This window comes from Homo sapiens, chromosome 16 (assembly GCF_000001405.40).
Source record: "Homo sapiens chromosome 16, GRCh38.p14 Primary Assembly".
In the NCBI taxonomy this organism is placed as follows: domain Eukaryota; kingdom Metazoa; phylum Chordata; class Mammalia; order Primates; family Hominidae; genus Homo; species Homo sapiens.
The window spans coordinates 31,482,241-31,509,829 of record NC_000016.10 but is presented as its reverse complement, the minus strand read 5'-3'; the positions used below and the strand labels follow the sequence as shown (position 1 = coordinate 31,509,829).

The 27,589-nt window shown below is 52.9% G+C and overlaps 2 protein-coding genes and 1 long non-coding RNA gene across 8 annotated transcripts, besides 8 other annotated features; 1 reads left to right on the top strand and 2 right to left on the bottom strand.

Annotated features, from left to right (window-relative positions):
* RUSF1-DT (RUSF1 divergent transcript) lies at window positions 264-1,366 on the bottom strand. Of its 2 annotated transcripts, none has more exons than NR_186400.1 (2): window positions 794-1,366; window positions 264-662 (listed from the first exon to the last, which is right to left on the bottom strand). It is a non-coding gene; the product is annotated as an RUSF1 divergent transcript (long non-coding RNA). The 2 variants fall into 2 exon arrangements; NR_186401.1 differs by having other exon boundaries at window positions 264-657.
* Window positions 889-1,458: an enhancer, noted in NCBI's record as "active region_10765". NCBI's record gives its function as "activates an Ori minimal core promoter by ATAC-STARR-seq in GM12878 lymphoblastoid cells {active_cell/tissue: GM12878}" and the evidence as "EXISTENCE:reporter gene assay evidence [ECO:0000049][PMID:35858748]".
* Window positions 889-1,737: a biological region, named in NCBI's record as "NANOG-H3K27ac-H3K4me1 hESC enhancer GRCh37_chr16:31519414-31520128".
* Window positions 1,023-1,737: an enhancer, noted in NCBI's record as "NANOG-H3K27ac-H3K4me1 hESC enhancer chr16:31519414-31520128 (GRCh37/hg19 assembly coordinates)". NCBI's record gives its function as "activates a minimal SCP1, AML or CMV promoter by ChIP-STARR-seq in primed H9 embryonic stem cells {active_cell/tissue: H9 hESC(primed)}" and the evidence as "EXISTENCE:reporter gene assay evidence [ECO:0000049][PMID:30033119]".
* On the top strand, window positions 1,439-20,355 carry RUSF1 (RUS family member 1). 2 transcript variants are annotated; one of them, NM_022744.4, is made up of 13 exons: window positions 1,439-1,756; window positions 1,952-2,066; window positions 9,099-9,144; window positions 10,305-10,337; window positions 10,423-10,528; window positions 12,880-12,981; window positions 15,894-15,964; window positions 16,043-16,227; window positions 16,306-16,363; window positions 16,782-16,852; window positions 17,490-17,633; window positions 17,744-17,821; window positions 18,898-20,355. In NM_022744.4, the coding sequence occupies exons 1-13, from the start codon at window positions 1,457-1,459 to the stop codon at window positions 18,993-18,995; spliced, it is 1,407 nt and encodes a 468-aa protein (NP_073581.2). In that variant the 5' UTR covers window positions 1,439-1,456; the 3' UTR covers window positions 18,996-20,355. The 2 variants fall into 2 exon arrangements, with proteins under 2 accessions (NP_073581.2, XP_047290452.1); XM_047434496.1 differs by lacking the exons at window positions 16,306-16,363; window positions 17,744-17,821; window positions 18,898-20,355 and having other exon boundaries at window positions 17,490-17,524.
* Window positions 1,559-1,608: a silencer, noted in NCBI's record as "silent region_7423". NCBI's record gives its function as "represses an Ori minimal core promoter by ATAC-STARR-seq in GM12878 lymphoblastoid cells {active_cell/tissue: GM12878}" and the evidence as "EXISTENCE:reporter gene assay evidence [ECO:0000049][PMID:35858748]".
* Window positions 1,669-1,728: a silencer, noted in NCBI's record as "silent region_7422". NCBI's record gives its function as "represses an Ori minimal core promoter by ATAC-STARR-seq in GM12878 lymphoblastoid cells {active_cell/tissue: GM12878}" and the evidence as "EXISTENCE:reporter gene assay evidence [ECO:0000049][PMID:35858748]".
* Window positions 1,738-2,453: an enhancer, noted in NCBI's record as "NANOG-H3K27ac-H3K4me1 hESC enhancer chr16:31518698-31519413 (GRCh37/hg19 assembly coordinates)". NCBI's record gives its function as "activates a minimal SCP1, AML or CMV promoter by ChIP-STARR-seq in primed H9 embryonic stem cells {active_cell/tissue: H9 hESC(primed)}" and the evidence as "EXISTENCE:reporter gene assay evidence [ECO:0000049][PMID:30033119]".
* Window positions 19,061-26,707, bottom strand: SLC5A2 (solute carrier family 5 member 2). 4 transcript variants are annotated; one of them, NM_003041.4, is made up of 14 exons: window positions 26,568-26,707; window positions 25,086-25,157; window positions 24,907-25,011; window positions 23,937-24,101; window positions 23,555-23,660; window positions 22,430-22,510; window positions 22,071-22,300; window positions 21,657-21,792; window positions 21,340-21,447; window positions 21,058-21,208; window positions 20,782-20,950; window positions 20,492-20,707; window positions 19,600-19,726; window positions 19,061-19,521 (listed from the first exon to the last, which is right to left on the bottom strand). In NM_003041.4, exons 1-14 carry the CDS (start codon window positions 26,691-26,693, stop codon window positions 19,295-19,297), a joined length of 2,019 nt encoding a protein of 672 aa, NP_003032.1. In that variant the 5' UTR covers window positions 26,694-26,707; the 3' UTR covers window positions 19,061-19,294. The 4 variants fall into 4 exon arrangements, 3 of the variants coding, with proteins under 3 accessions (NP_003032.1, XP_006721135.3, XP_024306170.2); XM_006721072.5 differs by having other exon boundaries at window positions 19,061-19,726; NR_130783.2 differs by lacking the exons at window positions 20,782-20,950; window positions 21,058-21,208.
* Window positions 20,283-20,942: an enhancer, noted in NCBI's record as "H3K27ac-H3K4me1 hESC enhancer chr16:31500209-31500868 (GRCh37/hg19 assembly coordinates)". NCBI's record gives its function as "activates a minimal SCP1, AML or CMV promoter by ChIP-STARR-seq in naive H9 embryonic stem cells {active_cell/tissue: H9 hESC(naive)}" and the evidence as "EXISTENCE:reporter gene assay evidence [ECO:0000049][PMID:30033119]".
* Window positions 21,940-22,099: a silencer, noted in NCBI's record as "silent region_7421". NCBI's record gives its function as "represses an Ori minimal core promoter by ATAC-STARR-seq in GM12878 lymphoblastoid cells {active_cell/tissue: GM12878}" and the evidence as "EXISTENCE:reporter gene assay evidence [ECO:0000049][PMID:35858748]".

Sequence of the window (27,589 nt, the reverse complement as noted above, 5' to 3'; positions counted from 1 at the left end):
GCTGGGATTATGGCCACACCACCCCCACGCCCAGCTAATTTTTGTATTTTTAGTAGAGATGGGGTTTCAACATGTTGGCCAGGCTGGTCTTAAACTCCTGACCTCAAGTGATCCACCTGGCTCGACTTCCCAAAGTGCTGGAATTACAGGCGTGAGCCACCACGCCCAGCCCAAGGATCACTTTTGAGGCCAGGAGTTTGAGAGCAGCCTGGGCAACATAGGGAGGCCCTGCCTCTATTTAAATAAATATGTTTTTAAAGTACTTAGTCTTCAAACCTTGTTTTATTTTTGTCCTCTATTCAAACCAGTACCTGAATTTAGACAACATTACAGAAATGTTGTGATTAGGCCATTTGTATTTTGAAACCCGAAATTTAAAGAAAAAAAAAAAGAAAAGAAAAGAAGTGTTCAAGTTTATCTCAGTCAGAGAGAGACTGTGTTTGTGTGAGATAAGGCGAAGTGGGGTAGAAGGGCCTTCCAGGATTAAGTCCACGAGGAAGGTGACGGTTTGGGAGAATCTGAAGTTTCAAATAAGGAGTTGTCGGTTGGGATCAAACTGTGGGGATCCAAGAATGCCAGGCTAAGAAACCAGGATATTTTATTTTCTGATAAAAAGAGGATGCTTTTTTGGCAAATTTCTGCTTCGGAGTGAAGATGCTGCACTAGATGGGAAGGAGAAGAGGAGAAATGGAAAGAAGAAAAGGTGAGTTCCAAGGACAGAAACACTCCCTCTTTGGACTCCCCCCAATTTCATGGACTCTCTCCCGCAAAAAAACACACAAGAACTTCCTGCCTTGTTTCCTTGTTTTGTGACATCATTGCAATCTCTTGATTTTTTTCATCCCTCGGATTCCTTAGCATCCTTCAAAAGTAATGTTCCTGCAGTCTCGCAGAAGGCCGAAGGATGGAGAATTTCTAGTCCAGGCCAGGGACACTCAGAAGAGAGAAAAAAAAAAGAACAAAAAAAGACCCAAGCAGCTTCACAGGGCCTCATCTGGTCCAATTTCTTCTCATGATGCATTCATTCACTCATAAATATCTTTTGAGCACCTACTATGTGTTGGGTAGATCTAGGGATAAAATCAGGGTTAAAAATACAGTCGCTGGTCTCACAGCAAAAAAGGCACCTGAGGCCCAGAGAGGGCCACTGACTTGCCAAAAGTCACAAGCTAAAACTTCTGTGGCCGAACCGCGTCTCGAACACAACTGGCGGAGGCCCACGGCGCCTGCAGCCCAGCTGCAGAATGCTACAAAGCAACGGGGGCCGGTGCCGGGGCGTCCGAAGCAGCGCCGAGGCCGGAGAGAGCGACAGTCAGTTTCCTAACTGCGCGGCGGACGCCGAGGCCGGCGCCTGTTCTTGAAAGATGTCCCTCTGCAGCCGCGGTAGCCCAGCCGGAAGTGCCGCCTGCCACGTCCACCGTGCGGCAGGGGCGGGGCTGGGATCCAAAAGCTCGGCATGGCTGACGACGCGGGTTTGGAGACCCCGCTGTGTTCCGAGCAGTTCGGCTCCGGGGAGGCACGGGGCTGCCGCGCCGCCGCGGACGGGAGCCTGCAGTGGGAGGTCGGGGGCTGGCGCTGGTGGGGGCTCTCCAGGGCCTTCACGGTCAAACCTGAAGGACGAGATGCGGGCGAAGTGGGGGCTTCCGGGGCCCCCTCACCGCCCCTCTCCGGGCTCCAGGCCGTGTTCCTGCCTCAGGGCTTCCCTGATAGCGTCAGCCCGGACTACTTGCCCTACCAGCTGTGGGATTCCGTGCAGGTCAGCTCGGTCGTCTGGGGCAGAGGACAGTGCAGGCCACTCCTCCCTCCCCAATAATGGACGGGTGACTGAGACTCGGAGCCCGGGGGGCGGGGGGTCTGACATGCCTCATACACCAAGAACAAGAACAGATGAAGGCACTTAGACCGCCACGCTCCTACGCCCGCTTCTCACCCTACTTGTTTTCTTCTCCAGGCGTTTGCTTCCAGCCTCTCCGGCTCCCTAGCCACCCAGGCAGTCTTGCTGGGCATAGGGGTGGGGAACGCAAAAGCCACTGTTTCAGCTGCCACGGCCACCTGGCTCGTGAAAGGTGAGCTGCACCCCTGGAGCCTCACGTATTGCTGCTTTCAGCCCTGCTTTCGCTGGGCTCTTATGTGTATATATGTATGGACTCGTGCCCCATTAGGTAGAATTCAGGCAGGTCTCCCCAGTGATTAGAGTGGTGCTTTGTAACCCAGTCTTACTTCCCACATCTGGAAGACCCTCATCCCACTCACCAGCCTAGCAGCCGCACTCCATTCCCCACACAGACTTCTGAGTCTCAATCATCTGGATCCCAAATCCCGTCCCCTCCCCTTTATCCCTATTCTCTTTGTGGAAGATTGCATAAGAATGCAATTGATGGAATAAAACTGCCAGCTGCCCAGGATAGGGGAAATTGGTGAGCTCCAGAAAAAAAAGATATAGTTGGTCCTGAGAAGGAGAGAGGAGAGCCTGGAAAGAATGGAAGGTATTGTGTATGCTCTGGGATACCAGATGATGCTGTAAATAATAGAGTGACTATCTGCTGAATATGTACAGCTTTTAAAAAATTGTTTAAGGAAAAAAAATACAGTTTGGTACCATGCCACCCAGAGAGGGAAATAGAACAGAAAAGGGAAATTGTTACATGTTCTACACGAGGAGGCCCCATGGCTTTTGCCACTGTCCTTTGTCTTTCACTACTGCTCGCAGGGGATATTTATTAGGCTGGTGCAAAAGTAATTGCGGGGTTTCTTTGTCGTTATTGCCATTAAAGGTAATGGAAAACCCGCAATTACATTTGAGCCAACCTAATAGATCTAAGGAAAAGCGCTTTCCATTCGTAGCATCAGTCTGGCCACATCCCTTGTGAGCCTCTCTGGATTTTTTTGAGAAAACAGGAGCTTCCTGTTTACACCTTTACCATTAAGACTGAGAAAACTGGGCCGGGCACGGTGGCTCACGCCTTTAATCCTCGTACTTTGGGAGGCTGAGGCATCCTGGGCAACATAGGGAGACCCCCATCTCTATTTTTTTTTTTCCAGACTCGTAGTCTCACTGTCACCCAGGCTGGGATGCAGGAGTGCAGTGGCACAATCTCAGCTCACTGCAGCCTCCTCCTCCCGGGTTCAAGCGATTCTCCTGCCTCAGCTTCCCAAGTAGCTGGGATTACAGGCATGTGCCACCCTGCCCCGCTAATTTTTTGTATTTTTAGTAGAGACAGAGTTTCACCATGTTGGCCAGGCTGGTCTCGAACTCCTGACTTCGGGTGATCCATTCGCCTCAGCTTCCCAAAGTGCTGGGATTATAGGCGTGAGCCACTGCGCCCGGCTTGTTGGCCGTATTTTTGGAATGCATTTGGAGCTTGGGTCAGTAGTTTTTGTTTTCATGTGATGTCACCAACATGTTGCCTATACAGATTGAATATCCCTTATCCAAAATGCTTGCAACCAGAAGTGTTTTGGATTTTGGAATTTTTTTTGGATTTTGGAATATCTTCATGTATATAATGAGATTTGTTGGGGATCAGACTCAAGTCTAAACATGAAATTCGTTTATGTTTCATATATACTTTATACACATACCTTAAAGGCAGTTTTATACAGTATTTTCAATGGTGTGCATGAAACAAAGTTTGTGTTCATTGATCCATCAGAAAGCAAAGATGTCACTGTCTCAGCCACACGTGGACAATCTGGTTGGTTAGCGTCCCCATCGTTCCTGACTCTGAATGTATATGCTACCAAGAAGCAGTCATTTTCTTATACCTATTCACACAGAAGTACTTAACAGTATAAAACATGATATACCACTAATACAGTGAGAAATTGTGTGTTCAGGGTAACTAAGCAGCACAGCAGATCACCAGAACACCTGTATCAGCTTCTGAACCATAGCAGCAGCAACAAAAACGGCAGGCTGTCAGTCTTCAGCTGTTTTGGTGAAAAGGTTACTGGACACCATATTTTATTTTTTTAAGGTGAGAAGAAACATTAGAAGCAGTTGAAGGACAGGAAGCGGGTCCTCTAGGGATGAGGAAGTGTTCTGCTGGATGGCTTTTTAAAATGTTTCCTCCAGAGTCATTTGCCTCATTAACTGTGGTTTCTATCTTAGAAGTCTCTCTTGGATTCTATAAACTGCCTGATTTCTTGTTCCGTTATGAATGTATGCTGCTCTAGTGCCACAGTAATCCCCTCCCACATCCTCACCGTGCTGTCTATAGGCACTTTTTCTGTAGTGGTAACAGTATCCTCTTCATTGTCACTGTTACCATGATTGCCTTGATTCAGAACTGAAGGAGGCCAGCCCTTCCACACTGTGGGTATTTCTCATCAGGTGGGACGAGAGACTGAGAAAAGAAATAAGACACAGAGACAGAGTATAGAGAAAGAACAGTGGGCCCAGGGGACCGGCACTCAGCATGCGGAGGACCAGCACCAGCACTGGTCTCTGAATTCCCTCAGTATTGATTACTATTTTCACTATCTCGGCAAGGGGAATGCGGCAGGAGAACAGGGTGATAGTGGGGAGAAGGTCAGCAGGAAAACATGCGAGCAAAGGAATCTGTCACAAATAAGTTCAAGGGAAGGTACTGTGCCCGGATGTGCACGTAGGCCAGACTTATGCTTCTCTCCACCCAGACATCTCAGTGTAGCAGAGTAGCAGAGCAGCATTGCCGCCAGCATATCTCTCCTAATCCTCCTCAGCACAGACCCTTTACAGGTGTCGGGCTGGGGAACAGTCAGGTCTTTTCCTTCCCACGAGGCCACATCTCAGGCTGTCTCAGTAGGGGGAAGCCTTGGACAGTATCCAGGCTTTCTTGGGCAGAGGTCCCTGTGGCTTTCCACAGTGCATTGTGCCCCTGGTTAATCGAGAATGGAGAATGGCAATGACTTTTATGAAGCATACTGCCTGTAAACATATTGTTAACAAGACACATCCTGCACCGCCCTAGATCTCTTAAACCTTGATTCCATACAGCACATTTCTGTGAGCATAGGGTTGGCGCTAAAGTTACAGATTAACAGCATCTCAAGGCAAAACAATTTTCTTAGTACAGATCAAAATGGAGTTTCTTATGTCCTCCTCTTCTACATAGACACAGTAACAGTCTGATCTCTTTCTTTTCCCTACAAGAACAGTTTGTGCTATTTCACCATCGGCTGTTTCTACTGGTGGCATCGTGTCTGCACTCCCAAAAGCTGCAGGTTTTGGAGCATTTCAGATTTTAGGTTTTTGGATTAGGAATGCTTAACCTTGGCCGGGCATGGTGGCTCATCCCTGTAATCCCAGCACTTTGGGATGGGGGGCCAAGGTCGGCAGATCAGTTGAGGTCAGATGCTCAAGACCAGCCTAGCCAACATGGTAAAACGCCATCTGTACTAAAAATACAAAGATTAGCCAGGCATGGTGGCACGTGCCTGGAATCCCAGCTACTCAGGAAGCAGCGGCAGGAAAATCACTTGAACCCAGGAAGTGGAGGTTGCACTGAACCGAGATAGTGCCACTGCACTCCAGCCTGGGCAGCAGAGCAGTATCCTGTCTGAAACAAAAAAGGAACGCTAAACCTTTAGCTCAGACAAGTTATTAAGAAAAATCAAGATCACTTTAAGATATGAAAAAAAAAAAGAAAGGCCAGGTGCCGTGGCTCACGCCTATAATCCCAGCACATTGGGAGGCAGAGGCAGGTGGATCACTTGGGGTCAGGAGTTGGACACCACCCTGGCCAATATGGTTTAACCCCGTCTCTAACAAAAAACTCAAAAATTGGCCAGGCGTGGTGGCAGGCACCTGTAGTCCAGCCTGGATGACAGACTGAGACCCTGTCTCAAAGAAAAAGGATGAAAAATCTACTTAAAAGGCTTGTTATTGGCCAGGTGCGGTGGCTCACGCCTATGATCCCAGCACTTTGGGAGGCTGAGGCAGGCGGATAACCTGAGGTCAGGAGTTCGAGACCAGCCTGACCAACATGGAGAAACCCCCTCTCTACTAATAATACAAAATTAGCCAGGCATGGTTGTGTGCACCTGTAATCCCAGCTACACAGGAGGCTGAGGTAGGAGAATCACTTGAACCTAGTAGGCGGAGGTTGTGGTGAGCCGAGATTGCGCCATTGCACTCCAGCCTGGGCAACGAGTGAAACTCCATCTAAAAAAATAAATAAATAAAGGCTTGTTATTGATAGTAAAAGAAGCTCTCAATTAGGATTTTACAAGCTCATTTTCATCAAACATGGGAAATTTCTGTGCAGAGCTTCATCTGAGAAACTTACTTGGGATTTTTTGATGTGATCATTTTCAGTTACCTGTCTCAGTGGAACGTGATGCCAGTTGTCATGAGTAGCAATAGTAATAAAACTTGTTGCTAATATTTTGGCAACCTACCTTAAGCCACACATTTTGTATGGTTACATGTAATATGTGTCTTGATCTCTGCAGCAGCCATATTAGTTAGCTGCCATTATTCATTTTTTAGATGGAAAAACAGAGACAAAAGTGTGTTTAAGTAACTTGTCCAAGGTCACTTAGGGCCATGATTTTGACCTAGGCAGACTTATTCCTGTGTTCTACTCTTAACTACCACACTCTTTTGCCAGCTAAGAATGTCAAGTGGAGCCAAGTACAATTTGTGGTCAGCTGATTCCTTATTAGGACTCAGATGTTTCTAGATCTTACAGCTTGGCCAGTTGTAAATGAAGAGGAAAAAAAAGCAAGTGGGAGTTTTCTATTCTAGTGGACAGTAGTGACTCAGATGCTAGGGAGTATATATATCATTTGTCCTGTAAATGCCTCTGATGATCCATGGAAAGGTAGAATAGGCTCCCTTTCTGTCAGGTGGCCCAAGGAGGACATACACCTGAGTGGATACAAGTGTGTAGCTAAAGGGAAGAAAAATAGAGTCTGAGCTGGGCACAGTGGCTCACGCCTATAATCCCAACACTTCGGAAGGCCGAGGCGGGTGGATCACCTGAGGTCAGGAGTTTGATACTGGCCTGGCCAACATGGTGAAACCCCATCTCTACTAAAAATACAAAAGTTAGCCAGGTGTGGTGGCTGGCACAATGATGATTTTGCCGAGAATATAATGTACTTGAAGGGAAGAGGTTAAAGTGAGGGATGGGAGGCCTGTAAATCCACCTTGTTGGGTGTTACTTCCAGAGTCAGGACAGAAATGGAGAAACAAAGCAGGCCAGATGGCAGTAGCTTGGACCCATGCTTTCCTTCAGTGAGGTAGCCCCAGCTGATGCTGGCCGTGAGAGAGGGCAGCCCCAGTGTGGCCATATCTTCAGGTTCTTCCAGAGAAGCTGGAAATCCATATTTTCTTGTAAAATACCTCAATTTTATTCACCGATTTAATGGGAGCCTTAGTGAAGGGGAATGATCCCTCCCAAAGTCTCAGGATCATTGTGAAGATGAAAAAGCACAGGTATTTCAGGTGTGCACTGGAGCGCTTACTGATTTCCCTCAAGTCCAGGGTGGGCAAGCATGACTCAGTGCCCAAGAAGGCTCTGGAAAGGGGAGAATGCATCTGCTCTCAGTGGAGAATGGGAGGGCTGGCCCGTGTCATTGCATTTATGTTTCGTGGGAAGCTCCCAGCCCTCATTCCCATAACGTAGTGTCCTTTCTCCTACATCCCCACCTCAGGGTCAGTGCCCTCAAGCTCAGACAAGTCCAAATCCTCTCCCCATGGTATCTGTCCTCTCCCATGTCCACTGTATGAGTCCCTCCCAGGTGTCTCGTTCTAAAATATTTCTGCCAGGCTTAATGGGTGCTGCTCTCTGTATAATGGATGGTCCAGATTGACAAACTTTTTCTGTAAAGGGCCAGATCTTAATGCTTTGCAGGCTTTATAATCTTAGTTGCAGCAACTCAGTTCTGTCATTGTCTTGCAAAAACAGCTATAGACAATCTGTAAACAAATAGGCATGGCTGCATTCCAGTAATACTTTATTTCCAAAACCAGGGAGTAGAAACAGTTTAGTGATTCCTGGTCTAAATCAGTGTTTTCTATACTGATTGTTATCTGCTCTTTGGCTGGATTTTGACCCTGGGATCATCTTGGTCACTGTGGTCATGAAGTACCTGGCAGAGAGAGTTAGGTAGCCAGAAAGCATTTGTTGTGCAAACGAAGGTCCCACTGATTCCAGAGACTTCTCTTACTCTGCCCAGCCTAAGGAGGCCTGTCCCTCTGCCGTGCAACCCCAGCTGCAGTTCAAATCTTTTTTTTTTTTTTTTTCCTGAGACTGGGTCTTGCTCTGTCATCCAGGCTGGAGTGCAGTGACATGATCATAGCTCACTGCAGCATTGATCCTGAGTTCAAGCCATCCTTCCGCCTCAGCCTCCCAAGTAGCTGGGACTACAGGCATGCCACCATGCCTGGCTAATTTCTTTCCTACTTTTTGTAGAGATGGGGTCTTGCTGTGTTGCCCAGGCTGGTCTTGAACTCCTGGCCTCAAGCAGTCCCTGGGCCCAAACCCCCTGTAATCCCAAAGTGCTGGGATTATAGGCCTGAGCCACCATACCCAGCCTAAATCCTTTTATTTATTTATCCCATAATAGCCATCTGTGAGCCAACTGCCCAGCCTAAGAGCTAGAACAGGTTAGCAATAACCTTTGAATTTCCACTTAAGATTTCCTGCTTTTTTGAATAGTTTTACCAAATAGGTAAATATTCCTAAGTGCTATATTGTTTAGTTTTAATTTTAGAGCTTTGCAAACTGTGCTGTATGTGGTCTTCATGAGTTATTTTCATGCAAGAGTTTAATAGTATTCATCTATGAATGAATGCCTCTGGGTGAATATACTAGAATTTATGTATTCTGTCAGTCAACATTTGCATTATTCCCAGGTTTTTTGCTGTTATGAACAATTCTGCAAAGAACATTTCTTGTCCATGTCTCCTAGGGGACATATTGAGGAACTGCTATTTGTAGGCACTTCTGACCCCATTATGTAGCTATGACTATCCACAACTTCTAGTACCAGACCGAGTTCCCAAAGGCAGTGACTCAGTGAATTGGCCAGTTCAGTGCCAGGGTCTGCCAGGCCCCACAGCTCCCACACCTCTTCCTTGCTCCTTACCTGTGCCTTCTTTCCCCCAGATTCAACTGGCATGCTGGGCCGCATCGTCTTTGCCTGGTGGAAAGGGTGAGTTTGTCTTCCCGGCCAGCAACTCTGGCAACTCTTCCCAGTAGTGGTAGTAATGATAGTAATAGTATTGCCATTAATTGTGGCTGTAAGGGTTCCATGAGATGATCTATGCAAAGTGCTTAATGCCCGTGGCATCGTACATAATGGCTCAGTAAACACTAGCTACCATTAACAGCTGTAACTGTGCCCCCTGAGCCTCTGTATGTTGTCTCTAATCCTTACAGCAACTCTGTAGGATGGGATTGGATGTGTACATTTCATAAATGTGAAATATACCTGCATGAGGGAAGTTACCTGCCCAAACCACACAGCTTATAACTAGCGAGATGGGATTTGAACCTGAAGCCTGTGCTTTCCATGGTATTGGGCAGTTCACTGGGCAGAACCCTCAACCAGGCCATGTGTTCAGGATCTCGTTATGTGTGTCTGATACCTCTCCCAAGAATATTCCCATTCCCTCCAGGAGATCTCATACTGAGACTCGGGCCTAATGCTGCAAATCCTGAGCTGGGCTGGGGCTGCAGTATCTCCTGCCACTGGGACCCTAGAGAAGTTGTTTCCAAGTGTTTGTGCACAGGGCAGGGAGTCACTGTCTGACGAAAAGGGCAGGTGAGGTAGCCGTCCACGGTGTTGTGTAACAGAAGTACCCTAGGCCTGGATGTCGGAGCCCGGCTCTCTTAGCCTTTTCCCCAACTCTGCGTGTGATCCAGGGAAATCATATCCCCTGTGAGGGCTAGTTGTCTGTAACATGCAGGGTTACACACTCAATGTGATGTTTACTAGTCCAAAACATGCTCACTGGGTACCCTCACTCTAAAGCAAGAAGAAGAACGGAGAGAGGCAGAGGAACTCAGGAAGAGCCTCCCTCCAAGGACAGACAGAGGCTGGGGAGCAGCCACAAGACAATCAGGGTTTTTCCTTGGTAAATCATGAGTTCATAAGCGGGAGACACTAGGTGATCAGTCAGTCACTGAAGGTTCTCCCAGCTAATGGTGGCATTTTAGGTAGCAGTGACCGGCTGTGGGGACAGATGTCTGTCTGGGGGTGTGGGTTTTCCTGAGCTCTTCAGACTTTACTGTGGTCCAAGACTCCCCACACTGCCCATAGGATGTGTTTCTCCTTAAGTCCAAATTACAACAACCTCTCCTCCCCAACAGGAGCAAACTGGACTGCAATGCCAAGCAGTGGAGGTGAGGAGGGGCGGGGACGGGGGAGGGGAGTCTTCCATTATGAAAGTCTCCTACCTCTGACCTCTAACCTCTGATCCCTCCCCAGGCTTTTTGCGGACATCCTCAATGACGTAGCCATGTTCCTTGAGATTATGGCTCCTGTATACCCAATCTGTTTCACCATGACCGTCTCCACCAGCAACCTAGCCAAGGTAGCTGCCTGTGGGGGCACCCATCTGCCTAAAACACCTGCCTTGGTAGTGTGTGAGTTTACCTGGGCTCTGTGAGTTTACCTGCCACTTCAAGAAGAATAAGAAAGTTCAGATGTTTCTACTCGAACCCAACCATCCTTTCTGACCCTCCTCCAGCCAGACAGCATCTAGTGCCCCAGAAAGTGTAAGGCAATGTCTAGAGCCACAGGACTGGGGAGGGAGCTCCGAGCTGAGAACTAGAAGGGGTTGTCCAATGTTGACATTTTGGGACCAGCTTCCTTGACTTCCCTTTGGTTCTTTCAGTACAGTATTTATTGAGTGCCTACTGCATATTTGGCACAGAATGTGGGCCCCCGTCTTTGAAAGGAAACCACACATAATTGCACCAGTGTTTGTGGAATTATAGGTACAGGTATTCTAAATGAGAAATGTTGGGGCCTGCAAGAGGCTGAGGCGGGGATTCCAGCCTGGTCAGGGAGTGTAGGAAGAGCTCCCCTGAGCCTGGGTCCTGAAGATGGAGTTTAAGGTGCAGGGCGGGTGTTCCGGGCAAAAGAAACAGCACAGCTTAAGGTCTGGAGGCGAGGTGGAGATGGAGCACAGACCGCACAGTGAGCTGGGGGACACGCGGGGCTCAAGCACACTCTTCCTCCACGCCAAGCTGTTGCCTGCACAACCCTTGCAGGTTGATCTCACCCAAATGAGGACACTGAGGCCTGGCATGGTTCAGTAAAGAGCATATCCTGTCAGAGTTAAGTCCCTGGCCCAGAGGAGAAACTCAAGAAAATGGAAAACCCATTCCAAGGCCCATGTGTCAACTTAAAATCACGTTAGGGCCGTGTTTCTCCATAAGTACTAGCATTTGGGGTGCAACGGTTCCTTGTGGTAGAGGACATTTAGCTTCCTTGGTTGCAAGCCTAAATGCTACGAGCACCCCTAAACAGGGTAGGAAACCCCAGAGAAAAGCATGGCTGTAGCTATGGACCGAGGGTTGTGCCATCTGGCTTTTGCTTCAAACTCTGCCTTTGAGACTTCAGTCTCTTCATCTGTCCAACAAGGGAATGGAACAGGGCCATGAGCTTCCCTCTTAAGACCCCTCTCTAGAGTTCCCCTCTCCACAACCTCCATCTCCAGCTGCACCAAGAGAAGCCAGCCTGGCTGTCATCTATGCTGCCGCCACCACCACTGCCACCACCTCCTCCTCTTCCCCCTTCCCCTTATCTGTCACCTTCGGCTGAACCTTCAGTTCTGTTATTTTTCCCTCCTCAAAATCTCCAGTCCATTCTCTCCTCCATCTTCCTGTCACCACCTCTCACTGCTGAGAGAGCACCGTTGCTTCCCAGGTAGCCTCCGTGCCGCTCCTCTCTCAGAGCAGCCCAGTGATCCTTTCAAAGAGGAAAGCAATCAGGTCACTCTGCTGCTCCATTGCTCTTAGGGAAAGACCTTCACCAGGCTTGCCAGGCTCCGTGTGGTCAGGTCCCTGCCAGCCACTTCGCCCTCACTTTGTCCCTCGTTCCTCTGGCCTTTGAACAGACTGTTTCCTCTGCCTGCGTATTAACTTGTTTATTTGTTTATTATCTGTTGATCTGTATGCTCCATGAGGGCAGGGCCTGGGTCTGACTTGTATCACAGCACCTAAGTCTATGTCTGGCATCTAAAAGAGCCCTCAGCCAGGGGCGGTGGCTCACGCCTGTAATCCCAGCACTTTGGGAGGTTGGCGTGGGAAGATCTCTTGAGCCCAGGAGTTCCAGGCCCGCCTGGGCAACACAGGGAGACTCTGTCTGTATTCAAAAACTAAGGATAAATAAAAATAGTAATAAGTAAAAGAGCTTTGATGAACTCGGGATGATTGTGAGTGACCAGTGACCCTCCTTGATTAGCTTTATCCTGCGATCTCAGAGGGAGAGATCTGGGTACCCTGGGAGGTCAGGGCCATCAGTGTAGGTTTCGACAGCTTTAACTGGGGCAGGAGGAGAGTAGAGGAATTACAGGAGGCAGATGTAAGCATGAAGCTGGAAACCAGCCTGAGCCTCCCGCCAGTAATGGGGAGGGTATAGCCCAAGCAGGAGCTGGAGGGCTGGGAGTTCTGGGCTGAGAATGATCTTTGGGCCTCCACCTTGGGGAATGAAATTGAGCTTCTGTGAGGCCAGTCCCCAAGGTGATAGTGGCAGGTGGGACTCCAGTTTCCTAGAACAGGACAGGGAAGTTGAGCCTAGGGGGCATCAAGGTGAGAACTAGATGCCAAGGACAGCATTCAGAGTTTGGCCGGGGCCAGGTTTTCTCCAGCTGGTCTGAGTGCCTGTGTTACCAGGACACGTGTCTCTGCCAACCTTCTCTCTTCCCCTCCCACCCAGTGCATCGTGAGTGTTGCTGGTGGGGCCACTCGGGCTGCCCTGACCGTGCACCAGGCTCGGAGGAACAACATGGCTGACGTGTCAGCCAAGGACAGCAGCCAGGTGAGTGCCAGAGCTGGAGGGAGGGCGTGGAGTGGGGAGGGGAAGGGGAGAGAAGCCACTTGAGTGCCCTGGAGGGCCCAGGAACACACAGGAAGAAGTATGGGTGCTCCCTGCTGACTCAAGACACCCAGGCAGGAGTAGGGGTTTGGGCTCTGGTGGCGGCAAGTCCGAGCTGATCTCAGGCCCTGCCCGCCACCTGTGTGGCTGAGAGCAAGCCCTCAGCCTTGCCCTCTTCAGACCCCACCGTGCAAGCTGGATGTTCTGATCACATGAGGCCCCACATGTCAAGGCAATTGGCAAGTCAGAGTTACCCAGCATGTGGGGTTGCTGGGTCACTGGCTGGGGCCTCCACTCAGCAGTTTAGCAGGCCTGCTGGCCCAGCCCCCTTGCCCACCCTAGGGAGCCTGGAGTTGGGGTAGGGACACCCCTAAGGCTGAACTCCGCATGGATTAGACCTCTACAAACCCCGTGCTGAGTGCTTACGTGTACTGCATCACTTAACTCTCACGCCTGTCATCCTAGCACTTTGGGAGGCTGAGGTGGGAGGATCACTTGAGGCCAGGAGTTTGAAACCAGCCTGGGCAACCCGGCGAGACCCCATCTCTACATAATATATAAAAGAAACTTCAGCTAGGTGTGGTGGTGCACACCTGTAGTCCCAGCCTCGAGCTCAGGAGGTGGAGGCTGTGGTGAGCTAAGATCACCCCACTGCACTCCAGCCCAGGTGACAGAGCAAGACCCTGTCTCAAAAACAAACAAACTCTCACACCAACCCTTTGAGGTAGGTACTACTTTATCCCTAGTTTACAGATGAGGAAATTAAGGCCCAGGGAAGTCCCAGAAGTGTGAGATGGTTTTCTTTGACACTGAAGCAATTTAGAAACTGCTGTTCTGTGCATTCCTACTTTCTGGCCTTCTCTTCCATTGTTTGGCTCAATAATCTTAACCCAAGCTAATATTTATTAAGCACTAACCATGTGCCAAGTATTTTGGTTCTGGGAACTCTTTAAATTCTCACAGTGGGCATGTGCAGTAAATGCTCATGGTTGCCTTAGTACAGATGAAGAAATAAAGCATGGAGAGGTCCCATCTCCCTGGGGGCCCCTGGGGAAGTCCCTTCTCTCAGGATGCTCGGGCTTATTCCACCCATTGTCTCTTCTGAACCTAAGTCCACAGGCTGTTAAGGAGCAAGCAGGAAGCACAGCACAGGTCCCTCACCGCAGGACTCCCAGCTCCATGCCTGGTGTCCCTCTCCTGTTCTCTCGCTGGTCCCCAGACCTCCCCCTAACCCCAAGCCATTTTTCCCAAGACCCCAGGGCTTCCTCGGTCCACAGAGCCAGGGACATATCCGGGACTAACCTGGGAATGTGTCAGTCCCGCAGCAGACTCCAGCTTTCTGCCAGTGCAGCTTTGCTGTCACTGGATGTGGCCACTGGAAATGACTCTTCCCACCTGGGAGAGAGGAGCTCCTGAACTCCCCAGGTCCCTGATCCCCAGTTTCCTGCCACACCCACAGCGTTTATTCCCACAGCATATGCCCTTCCCAGGAGGGCTGGTTGAGAAGAGCTCTCCAGTCTCGGGTCCTCTCTATGCCAGGACCAGCTCTCCCTGGGAGCCCAGTAGTCAGGGGCACCAATCCAGACTCCTCCCTCATGATGAGTTGGGGGCAGGTAGCCTGGGGTCCCTTCCCCTAGAGTGATCTCAATCCAGCCATCAGAGTGTTCTCCTAACATTGATACACAAGGGAAGAGGTGTGGGTCTTGTTCCTTTTCTTCCCGGGTGGTTCCTTGACCCCTTTGCAAATCTATCTGCCAGTTACTGCATACCAAAGGAGCTTGGTGGGAGGGGAGCAGTCAACTTTTTAAAATCAGTAAATAAAAGTTATTCCAGCTCATGCCTGTTATCCCAGCACTTTGGGAAGCTGAGGTGGGGATTGCTTGAGCCCAGGAGTTCAAGATCAGCCTGGGCAATATAGCAAGACCCATCTTTACCAAAAAATGCAGTAATAATTAGCAGAGGCGTGGTGGTAGGATCACTTGAGCTCAGGAGTTTGAGGTGGCTGTGAGTTATGATTGCACCACTGCACTCCAGCCTGGGTGACAGAGCGAGACCCTCGCTCTTTAAAAAAAAAAAAAAGTACACATTAGTGAGTGCCTGAGTGTGGGTCTGTTCTGGTGACTTGCAAGACAAGATGTGTTCAAGGGTATTCCGAGGGCACCTACCTGGGCAAAAAAGCAACTGATACACATATGTATTTAGACAGGGTATCACTGTGTCTCCCAGGCTGGAGTACAGTGGTGCAATCATGGCTTAATTTTTTTTTTTTTCTTTTTTGGAGACAGTCTTGCTCTGTTGCCCAGGCTGGAGTGAAGTGGCGTGATCTCAGCTCACTGCAACCTCCACCTCCCAGGCTCAAGCAGTTCAGCCTCCTGAGTAGCTGGGAGTAGAGGCACGCGCCACCATACCTGGCTAGTTTTTTGTATTTTTACAAAAATGCAATGGGTCTCACCGTGTTGCCGAAGCTGGTCTTGAACTCCTGAGCTCAGGGAATCTGCCCACCTCGGCCTCCCAGATTGCTAGGATTACAGGCGCGAGCCACTATGCCCCACCAAATTTTTAATTTTTTTGTAGAAATAGGGTCCCACTATGTTGCCCAAGCTGGTCTCAAGCTCCTGGACTCAAGTGATCTGCCCACCTCAGCCTCCCAAAGTGCTGGTACTACAGGTGTGAGCCACCTCGAGCTGGCATCTTTTAAATGACATTTCACCCACCAAAAACTAAAAATTTACCCACATTGCAGTAAGGAGCCCTGGGAGGTTGTGGAGCAGGGAGGATGAGGTGAAAGGCACTCGGGCACTCAGTCTGGCCTGGAGGGGCACCTTCCAACTCCTTCTCCCTCTGCCATTTTCCAGGAGACGCTGGTGAACCTGGCGGGGCTCTTGGTCAGCCTCCTGATGCTCCCTCTGGTGTCAGGTTGCCCTGGGTAAGCCGGAAGCAGGGTGGGCAGGAGAACCCCAGCTGGGCCTCTGCCCACTTCAGCTACCTCACTCTCTCACCCCAGCTTCAGCCTTGGATGTTTCTTCTTCCTCACTGCCCTCCACATCTACGCCAACTACCGCGCGGTCCGAGCCCTGGTCATGGAGACCTTGAACGAAGGCCGGCTCCGGCTGGTCCTGAAGCACTACCTTCAGAGGGGAGAGGTACTCGACCCAACTGCAGCCAATCGCATGGAGCCGCTGTGGACAGGTGACCCTGCCCCTGGTCTCGGGTCCTGTGTCTCAACCTCTCCCACTGCCTAGGCATCCTGACCCCAGCTTCCCACAGGTTTCTGGCCAGCTCCGTCTCTATCCCTGGGGGTCCCCTTACACCGCTTGGTCTCCAGGTGAGTGGCCTAGCGTCTCCCGCTCGTCACCACCGCCACCCACACTCCCCTCACTCCGATTACACACTGGCCTCCCTGGCAAGGCCCCACCTCTCTGTCCTGGGTTCTTCATTGCTGCTGAACAGACATGGGGTTGGTGTGGGTGTGTGAGGAAGGAAAGGGTGTATAACATGAAGCAGATGTAAGAGATGTGCTTGATGGGTGAAGGAAGGATGGGTAGATGGGGAAGTTGGATGACTGGATACAGGAAGAAAGGATGGATTTGGTGTGTATGGGTAATGGCTGAGGGAGAGAGGAAGCGAGGGGACCTGAGTGAAGCCTGGATCATTTCAGTTCACTGGGTGGCTGTTCAGTGGCTGGTTGGGCATGCCTGCCTTTGCTGTCCTCCACCCCCACTGCACTGTCCTCTCCCCCACAGTGTCTTTGAGCTGCAGCAGCTGGTTGAGGGGCACCAAGAATCCTACCTCCTCTGCTGGGACCAGTCACAAAGTGAGTGTGCCTCATTCTCCCAGCCTAAGACGCACCCTCCCAGGTCAGCCTCTCATTCCTCCAACCTAGGGCCCCGAGCTCTGGGCAGTTTGGAGGCTGCCTGTTCTGGGGGTTGCTCTAGACCGTTCAAATTACAGCTGCAATGCCCCAGTGAAATTCATGTCACCGCTTTGTAAAACAGAGCTAACAGTACCTGCCTTATTCCTTGCGGTGTTTTTATGAGGATCAAATAATGTGACTGCAAAGCTACATTGCAGCACTCTTAGGAAGGCTATGACCTTTGCTGTCCGTGGGAAACCACCCTTCTCTCCATCCTGGGTTGCCTCTTGGGTAAACAAGTCCTTGAGTGTGCTGGTCCGCTGGTTGAGTGTGAAAAGGTGCTTATTCTCACTAGCCATTAAAGAAATGCAAAATAGACCCAGCCCAGTGAGCGGCTGGGAAATTGTATTTGGAAATTGGTCAGTTTGGCCCGAACATTGGGGAGCAACAGGAGATGAATTGGAAAGGAAAGGGTGAGGTGCTAGCCTTCCGTGCCAGGCCAAGGTCTTGGGGCAGACAGGGGAAGCAGGGTGATGGGATAGAAGGGGTTTGGGAGGTGGCCCTTCCCTGATACCAGTCTGTCTCTGGGTCCCTCCAGACCAGGTACAGGTAGTTCTGAACCAGAAGGCAGGCCCCAAGACCATCCTAAGGGCCGCCACACATGGGCTGATGCTTGGGGCCCTGCAGGGAGATGGACCCCTTCCAGCAGAGCTGGAGGAGCTGAGGAACCGGGTGCGGGCAGGTAAGTGCCTCAAGATTTAGACTGCTGATGCCTCAGGGTGGGGAGGAGAGAGGACAAACTCTGTCCTGCTGGAGGACACAGAGCTTCTGGTTCTGCACCCCCGTACCCAGGTCCTAAGAAAGAGAGCTGGGTCGTCGTCAAGGAGACACACGAAGTGTTGGACATGCTGTTCCCAAAGTTCTTGAAAGGTAACATCCCTCAGCCCATGGCTGCTTGGCCCCTGAAGCCTTGTCCCTGGGGGCCCCGCCTTCCCCCACTCCCACCCTTTCACCTGAAAGGTAAAAGACTTGGGTTCTTGGGCCTGGTGCAGAGGCTCACACCTATGATTCTAGTGCCTTGGGAGGCCTAAGTGGGCAGATTGCTTGAGACCCTGCCTGGGCAACATGGCAAATCCTTGTCTGTACAAAAAAAACACAAAAATTAGCCAGGTGTGGTTCTGCTCTTGTGGTTGCAGCTACTCAGGAGGCTGAGGTGGGAGGATCACCTGAACTGGGGGAGGTCGAGGCTACAGTGAGCCATGATTGTACCAGCCTGGGTGACAGAGCAAGACCCTCTCTCAAAAAAAAAAAAAAAAAAAAGACTGTCGGGCACAGTGGCTCACACCTGTAATCCCAGCACTTTGGGAGGCCAAGGCGGGCAGATACTTGAGCTCAGGAGTTCAAGGCCAGCCTGGGCAACATGGTGAAACCCTGTCTCTACCAAAAATATAAAAAAATTAGCTGTGCATGGTGATGCACGCCTGTGGGACTGTCAGGAGGCTGAGATGGGAGGATCACTTGAGCCTAGGAGGCAGAGGTTGCAGTGAGTCCAGATTGTGTCACTGTACCCCAGCCTGGGTGACAGAGACCCCATCTCAAAAAAAAAAAAAAGATGGATTCTCTCTGCAATCCTAAGTTTGGGACTCAGTTACTCAGTTTCCCTGTTTATAGGACGGAGAGCTTAGAATGGTCTTTGAAGTGGTATCAGTGTAGACAGTCTGTGTAATCCCAGTTGGCATGTAGGAAATGGGAGGATGGAGCAGGGAGGCCCTCACATTGGCTGATGAGGACGTTTTGTCTGGCGCCTGTTCCATCCCAGCGCTCTTCTGTGTGCCATTTCAACGAATTCTTGCTGCAGCCAGGTGTGGTTTCAGCCTCATTTTATGCCATACTCACCCAGCAGAGGCAGTGGGAGCCCCAGTAGTGCACAAAGCCTGCACCCAGCCTGTGCCTCTCCTTACCCTTGTCCCCAGCATTCCCGGCAGCACCCCATGATCTCTCCCCAGGACTGCAGGATGCCGGCTGGAAGACCGAGAAGCACCAGCTAGAGGTGGATGAGTGGAGGGCCACATGGCTTCTGTCTCCCGAAAAGAAGGTCTTGTGAGCAGCCCAGACGGAGGCCCAAGCCCAGGGCAGGAACCTGGAGCAAGGACACTTTGGCCACAGCAGGACAGGGGAAAGGCAGCTTTATTTTTCCTTAGGGCAACTGCAGCGGGTGGGCCAGGCCCTCATGGGAAGTGACTGCCAATCAGATGCAGTGGGCCCCAGGCAGAGGAAGGCCGGGAGAAGGGGAGCCAGGACCTTCTCACCCCACTGCCCCTTCCCCTTTTCTGGGGAGCACCGCAGGCTCCTCACCCCCACTTCCTGTGAGGCTGTGGCTTATGGTGTCCAACGCAGTTGGTCTTAGGCATAGAAGCCCCAGAGGAACACGGCCACTGCCATCATGAGCAGGGCATTGAGGTTGACCACACGGGCCCAGCTCGGGTCCTCGCTGATGTCCTCCAGCCGCCTGGCTGCTGCCGCTGCCTCCTCCTGGGTAAGGGGCGGAGGACTGCCCACCCCACCTCTGCTCATTCCACAAAACCAGAGCAGGCACTGGCGGAAGAGGCTTGGTGCCGGGGCCTGGGGCTCTGAGGGAAATTGAGGCCCTGCAGTTAGTTTGCGGGAACTCAGCTCCTCCAGCCCCACCTCCCAGCATGGTGCCCTACCATTCATCTCCATGGCACTCTCTGGGCACCCATTCTGTACAGGGAGTGAGGAGCCTTGCTGCTCATCAGCATCCAGGTCCTCCCGTTCCTCCTTGCTATGCCGGAGACTGAAGACCAGGCGGTGGAGCTGGGGAGGGTGGGAGCACGAACGAGGTGGGAGTTCTGTCCCCCCATGCCTGGCCCTAAAGTCTCTTGCACACCAGCTCGTCACTGCCTGCCCTACCCACCTCTGTCCAGTCTACACACCCAGCCCAGGCTTAACTCATGCCAACTCCACCCTACATGGCTGCCCTGTGCCCTCGGGATAAACCCCAAGCCCCTGAGCTTGTGTTTAAAGCCGTTGGCCTTGCTCCCCCAGCTTTGTCAGCTCAGGTCTGTCTACACCCAGATGGTAGCGCTTGTGACACTGGCCTGGCAGTCCTGCTCACAGTGTTCTGTGCCTGTGTGCTCCCACCCTTTCCTCCTGCTGCTGCAGAAACCCGGCCATCCTTCCACACCCAGATCTCTTGTCCTGTCCTCACCCCACCCTGCCACCATCAGCCCTGCCTGGAGCCACCTGCCCTTTGGCAACAAAACCAAACCTTTTTGTGGGCGTTCAAGATGGTATTGTGCCCACCAGTCAGATCCTGTGTTTTGAGTCCCAAAGGCCATGCCAAGGATTGGCTTTGGGAGGCTTTAATCACCAACCCATCAACATCAAGCCTCCCCCAGGCCGGTTCAAATAAATGTATTTAAATAAAAATTCTTGCTCGGCAATTGCAACTGCAGCTGGACCCCCAGCCCATTCCCAACCCTCAGTCGAGAAATTCAGGTCCTCCCAGCTGGGCACTCCAGGAAGCAGAGGGTAGGTGCTGTGTCCCACAGTGCTTGCCTGGGGCACCTGGCCACTCACGTGCTTTCTGGGGATGGGCGCGGTGCACAGGGAGACCGTGAGGGTGAGGAGGCCAGAGCAGAAGAACAGCACAATGGCGAAGTAGAGGTAGTGCACGCCGCAGAGGAAAGCTGGGCACGCCGAGGGCTGCACACAGCTGCCCGAGCCGAAGGAGAACTCGGGAATCAGGCGTGCCAGGCCCATCAGCAGGCCCCCGATGAGTCCCCAGAAGGCGCCCTGCGAAGGAAACAGGTCAGCCTGCTGAGGATGTGCAAGCCCAGCCCTGCCGTCACCACGCGCGTGCCGCTCACCTGCTCATTAACGCGCGGCACGAAGAGCGCCAGCACGAAGACGGCGGACACGGGCGGTGCCAGGTAGCTAGAGACTGCCTGGATGTAATCGAAGAGCTGCCCGCCCTGTGCCGCCTGCACCACGGGAAGCCAGGCCACCGACACTACCACGATGAACACCACCCAGAGCCTGCGGCGGAGGCCGTCGGATCGAACCCGGACCCTGGGCTCCCCTGCAGGTGCGCAAGCCCCCGCCCCGGGCTGATCCGTTGGGGAGGAGGGGAGCCCAGGCCGCACCGTCCCACCAGCAGCAGCTCGCGGTCGCCGGCGCGTGGCCGCAGGCGCGTGTAGATGTCCATGGTGAAGAGCGTGCTGCTGCTGTTGAAGATGGAGGCCAGCGAGGACATGAGCGCGGCCAGCATGACCGCCAGCATGAGTCCGCGCAGACCTGCGGGCCGACGGCAGCCGTGAGGCTGGGGCCACTGGGGGTCCAGGGCGGCTGCAGCTGCGCGAGGGACGACCCCTCCCAGCAGCGGGCTCCGCAGCGAGCTTGCGCCTGTGGCCCGGGGCTGCCCTTACCGTTGGGCATGAGCTTCACGACGAGCCGCGGGTAGGCGATGTTGGAGCAGCCCACCTCCGTGCCGCACACGCGCCTGCACACCTCAGGCACCACGCACGCCACCTCGTCTGCCAGAGAGAGGCCACCGCGCCGTTAGGACGGGGCCTGGTCTGGGAATCCCAGGAGGTGGGGACTGGGAATCCTAGCAGAGGAGGCGTGCGACCCCCGGAGGGAGGCGGGACTCCGGGCCCAAACTGCCGAGTCTTAGGAGGGTGACGGAACTGGGCGACGGGCGCCCGGTTGCTGGCACAGGAAAGGGGCGGGGCAGGGATGTTACCTGGGTACAGAATGCGGCTGATCATGCCTGGCATGACCATGAGAAACATGGGCGTCAGCTTCAGGTACCCACACAGGATGCAGCCCGCCTTGATGTGGGTCAGGCTCTTCCCGGCCAGGCAGCGCTGCACGATGACCTACGGGAGGGGCGTTCAGCTGCCCGCTTGCGGGCCTCCCCTCGGCCCCGCCCCGCGCCCCGTTCCGCTCTGTGCCCCGCCTCTGGCTCGTGAGTGCCCCAAGTTCAGCTGCACGCTTGGAGTAGATGGAGCCTTCTGTCTGGTTTAGCACCAACCCGAGGGGTTCCCGCCCCTCAGACTGCGCCTTAGACCGTTGTGGGGAAGGCGGGGAGGGACTCAGGCTCCGCCCGTCTCGGCTCCGCCCCGGCCTCACTGCAGGCGCAGCCCTATACCCGCACCTGGTCGCTGCACCAGTACCAGCCCGAGACGATTGTGAGTCCGAGGAGCAGCGCGGGCCACGGCAGATCCCCGGTCACGGGGTGCCGGAGCAGGTGGTAGGAGTCGGGCCGGGGTCGATAGCAGAAGCTGGAGATGTTTCCCACGGCTGGATCCTCGGACACCGTCAGCGAAGTCGCTGCTCCCAGGTATTTGTCGAAGAGACCCGAATACCCGCCCACCTCGTGGAAGGCTGCCGGGCAAGGCCGTCAGGGGACCCTCCTTAGGACCCTCAGACCGGAGACGCGCAACGGCCCCGCGCGCAGGCCGAGAGCTCCGCGACCATGCCCTCCGCGCCCCTCCCTGGTAGGCGAGCCCCTACCGTAACCCATGAGGATGCAGGCGCCCCCCAGAATGACGAAGGTCTGTACCGTGTCCGTGTACATCAGCGCGGCCAGCCCTCCTGCAACAGGCCGGGGTCAGGGGACAGCCCAGCTGTTTATGTTACAGGCTGGCCTTAGCAATAAGGCGTCTTTGTGGGAATTTGAAAGAGTTCCCCTTCCTGGAGAATAAATTTCAAAACGATAGCCTGTTCTCGGGGCTCATGCACGCAGGCACCAACAAGCAGGGCTTGGCGGGCAGAGTGTGGCTGAGTTTTAGGGCCAGGCGCCTACTTGCAGGACCCCCACTAGCAGCCCCCTCTAGGCCCCAGTTTTGTTTGTTTTTGTTTTTGTTTTTGAGATGGAGTCTTGCCCTGTCGCCCAGGCTGGAGTGCAATGGTGGATCTCAGCTCACTGCAACTTCCGCCTGCCCGGTTCAAGCAATTCTCCTGCCTCAGCCTCCCGAGTAGCTGGGATTACAGGGGCGGGCCACCACGTCCAGCTAATTTTTTGTATCTTTAGTAGAGACGGGGTTTCACCATGTTGGCCAGGCTGGTCTCAAACTCCTGACCGCGTGATCCGCCCGCCTTGGCCTCCCAAAGTGCTGGGATTACAGGCGTGAGCCGCTCCCAGCCGGCCCCAGTTTTTTCTGCGTCATCGTAGGAGAGGATGATTGTCTAAGGTCCTATACTCAGTTCCGTTCCTTCTGGAGGTGGGTCCCTCAAGCGGGCCTTGGCACCAAGCCCTGCCTACTCTGGTCCGCATCTGACCTCAGGCCCCACCCCAGGTCCCTATGAACCATACTGGGTTTTGCCAGAGATCTTGGAGACTCGTCAGGTGTGCTCTCCCAGGTGTTCAAGGCAGGCAAGAGCTGCTAAATCTTCCTTTTCTCAAAGTCCTCACTCAAGCCCAGCATGGCTTTCTCTCTGAACTTCCAGTCAAAATCCAAGAGACAGTGGAAAGAGAGGAAGCCTTTGCTCTCCAAAGATTTAGTTCCTTCTCCTGCTTGGACCACACCACCCTTCCAGACCTCTCCAGCTTGCTTTCCTCTGGCAGCTCCCTAAACCCTGGCCACAGCTGGCAGCAGTGTCCCAGGCCCACTCCCTTTCCTAAGCCCCTGCTGGCACCTGTCACCGTGTAAATCATGGTGATGCCCAGAAGCGCGATGACGGAGGCATAGATGTTCCAGCCCAGAGCCTGCTGGATGAATACAGCTCCGGAGAACATGTCCACCTTGGGGGAGAAGCAAGTGCCAGGTCAGGACCCAGGGCAGTGTCCCCAGCCCACCTCCTGCCCAGGCCATGCCCTACTAGCCTCAAAGCTTCCCTCCATTTTTCCAGGTCCCAGCACTGTAGCTGGTGCCCCGGAGACATTCATTGCAGGCTCTGCCTCCATCATCATAACCCTCGCAGTGGTTTCTCCTAGGTCTCACGCCCTCTAGGGTTCTCTAGAGACCCCACTTGAGCCCCACCCTTCTAGGGCCCAATCGCATCTGCCACAGGCACTCACTGAGATCTTGGTGAAGATGTACAGGAAAAGGGAGAGCACAGACAGGTAGAGGCGGATGCGGCGGCCGCCGAAGCGCTTGCGCAGGTACTGTGGCATCGTGATGACCCCCGCTGTCAGGTACACGGGTGCAAACAGCCAGCCCAGTAGCAGCACCACGAAGAGCGCCTACGGGGGGCAGTACTGCCGCTGAGGGTGGCTTTGCCCTCATCCCTGAGGATCTGACCTCTTCGTGAAGGTGCTACTCCAAGCAAGTGGCCCTGGGAAGGGCCACATCTGGGGCCCAGAGGACAACTGCAGGTGATGGCCCCGGGGCCCTGGGCACCAAGGAACAGAGCTGACACCCTCCTGGGCTCTTAACTGGAGCCCTCCTTGTCTCCCCAGGCTATCACTTCTGGCCCGTTTTTCCCAATGTTGTCCCTATGATCATCTAGATATGAACCCCAGCATAGACCCCTCAGACTGACCTGAGCCAAAGCCACCCAAACCTTGTGTCCCTCAAGGATCAGCTCAGCAGTCTCCTCCTCCAGGAAGCCCTGAGCTCAAAGCCCAATCTCCCCTCCAACAGGAGCCTCAGTCCCAGAGCTTTGTCTCTGCTCCTCTCTTCTGCAAAGGGCTTTAACTTGGCCCCAAATTCCTCACAGACCACAGCTTCGGAGCGCATCTGAGCAGGTGCTTCCCTGGCTTTGAGGCTGCTCACCCCACTCAGAGAGGAATAAATGGAAGCTCCCAGAGGCAGTGGCTGGTGCAGGCTGGCTCACATGGCAAGTCAGAAGCAGGACCAACAGTGGTCACCCCTGCACCCCTCTGCTTCCTGGCTAGATGTATGACCTCCACTCCCAGCCCAGTCACACCCCGCAGTTGGGAAGTCCCACTGCCAGTCTCATTCCCCCTTTCCTGGAGTTTCCCCAAGGTGTGACCCTTCCAGGTGTTCTCACTGAGGGTGGGGTTATTGGAAAAAAGAGGGCCTCACATTCCACTCGAATCCAGCAACAGCCAAGCCACTTGCAGCGCCAGTCCCTGCCAGGCCCACAAAGTGGCCACTGCCGATGTTGCTGGCGAAGAGAGAGGCCCCAACCTGGGTGGCCAGAGGAGGGAGTGAGCAGGGCTGCTTCTCCAGGCCCCTCCCGTTCCCGGCCCAGCCCGTCTCACCGGCCACCACACCATGCTGCGTCCTGCCAGGAAGTAGCCGCCCACAGTGCCTCTGTTGGTTCTGCACATGGACTGGGAGACAGAGGCGGGGGAGACCTGGGTTTAGGGCACAGCCTTGGACCTCATCAGCCACCTCAACACATTCCTCAGCCTTGTTTCTGGCTGAAGATTAACGAGCCAAGTTTCCCTGATCGTTTGCACTCCCACCCCCAACTCCTCCCAGACACTCAGGGCAACCCAGGCTCTAATCCCAGTGTCCTATTCCCCCAGTTTTTTTCACATATTTTTTCTTTTTCTTTCTTTTTTTTTTTTTCTCATTTTTTGAGACAGAGTCTTGCTCTTGTTGCCCAGGCTGGAGTGCAGTGGTGTGATTTTGGCTCACTACAACCTCCACCTCCCAGGTTCAAGCAATTCTCATGCCTCAGCCTCCAAAGTAGCTGGGATTATAGGCACACGCCACTATACCCAGCTTTTTGTGTGTGTGTGCGTGTGTGTGTGTGTGTGTGTGTGTGTGTGTATTTTAGTAGAGACAGGGTTTCACCATGTTGGCCAGGCTGGCCTTGAACTCCTGGCTTCAAGCAATTCACCTGCCTCAGCCTCCCAAAGTACTGAGGCATGAACCACCGCACCCAGCCCCACATCTGTCTTTCTTTTTAGAGACAAGGTCTCGCTCTGTCTCCTAGGCTGGAGTGCAGTGACATGATCATAGCTCACTGCAGCCTTGAACTCCTGGGCTCAAGCAATCTTCCCACCTTGGCCTCCGAGTAGTTGTGACTACAGGCACACACACCACCATGCCTGACTAATTTTTCCTTTCTTTCTTTTTTTTTCTTTTTTCTTTTTAAGAAACAAGGTCTCATCCAGGCACAGTGGCTCACATCTGTAATCCCAGCACTTTGGGAGGCAGAGGCAGAAGGATTGCTTGAGCCTAAGAGTTCAAGACTAGCCTGGGCAACATGGTGAGACCCCTCTCTCTTTAAAAGTAAATAATTTTTAAAATAAATTTTTTAAATAAAAAAGAGATACGGTTTCACCATGTGGGCCAGTCTGGTCTCAAACTCCTGGCCTCAGTGATCCCCCTGCCTTGGCCTCCCAAAGTGCTGGGATTACAGGTGTGAGCCACTAGTTCCATCCCAACTCCCCAGGATTTATCATTTGTGGATTTGGCTTGACCTTCCTGGGGACCTTGAATATTTTCTGCTGGTCAGCCACAATGTGGCCAGGGGAATGAGACCCCATTTAGAATGTCGACCCTGATGAAAATCCGCGGACCCCTTCAGCTAGCACAGTCCCAAAGTGGGAAGACAAGGGAGGAATGTTGGCTGGGTCTCCCTGAGAACTTCCAAAGACCTGCTTGCCCCCAGGCCTAGGTTTCTCCTTCAAAGATCCAAGCATCATTCTCCCACCTAGGGTCCCCCTGAGACTTTTCCCCCAGGCCCCCAAAGCCAGCAGCCACCAGCAGCACACCCCCCAACTTCTCACCCACAAGCCAACGCCAATGACCAGCAGGAAATATGCAGCAATGACTAGGATGTCAGCAGGATTGTCAATCAGGGCCTTCTGGGCCCCCATCTCTGGTGCCGAGCCTGCCTCTGTGTGCTCCTCCATTCTCCCCAGGATCTGCCCCATCCAGGAACCAGCCCCTGGATTCCCCCAGGGGAAGGATTAATGGTTACCTCAGGGGCACTGAGCCGACAAGTCCCCCAGGTCTCATTCCCGCTCCCCAGCTTTGTTTAGCTGAATCAGGTCATATCAAGGCTGAAGGCTGGTCTTGGGGAGCTGGGCCCTTCCAAGTTCAAGAGCACTCTTTCCTGGGCCTTAGCATCCGCCCTCTCCCCTGTGCTCCAGGCTCAAAATCACTCTTTTACTCCCTAAAAATGCATCGCTTCCTTAGCTAAGCTAGCACCCCTGGATTTAACTAATCCAGAGGAATCATTTTCAAATCCAAGTCTGACAGGGTCACTCGCCCTCCTCAGGAACCCTCCATAGCTCTTAGTACAAGCTCTTCAGCCTGATTTCCAATCCTGGTCATGCCCCAATTCCCGCTCATCCTTCCCCCTGCTTCTCCAAACCAAATCTAGAGGAAATCAGAAATCCTTTCCCACTCCTTTAACCTACCCAGCCCAGATTTTTGCTTTTTGCTTTTTTTGACCAGATATTTTATCCCCACCAAATCCTTGCACAAACTGTGTCTTCTGTTTAGAGCACTTCCCTGTCTCCCAAATGGCCAACTCCTACTCAGCTTTCAGTACCCAGCCTGTGTCGCCTCTTCAAGAAAGACTTCTCTGACATTTCTGATGTAGTTCTGAGCACACTGTGTGGCCCTTGCCTGGGTCCAGGTCTGTCTTCCCAACAAACTAGTGTCTCCTCAAGAGTAGGACTGGCTGGGTGTGGGGGCTCATGCCTGTAATCCTAGCACTTTGGGAGGCTGCAGCAGGAGGCTCACTTGAGCTCAGGAGTTTGAAACCAGCCTGGGCAGCGGAGTGAGACCTCATCTCTTAAAA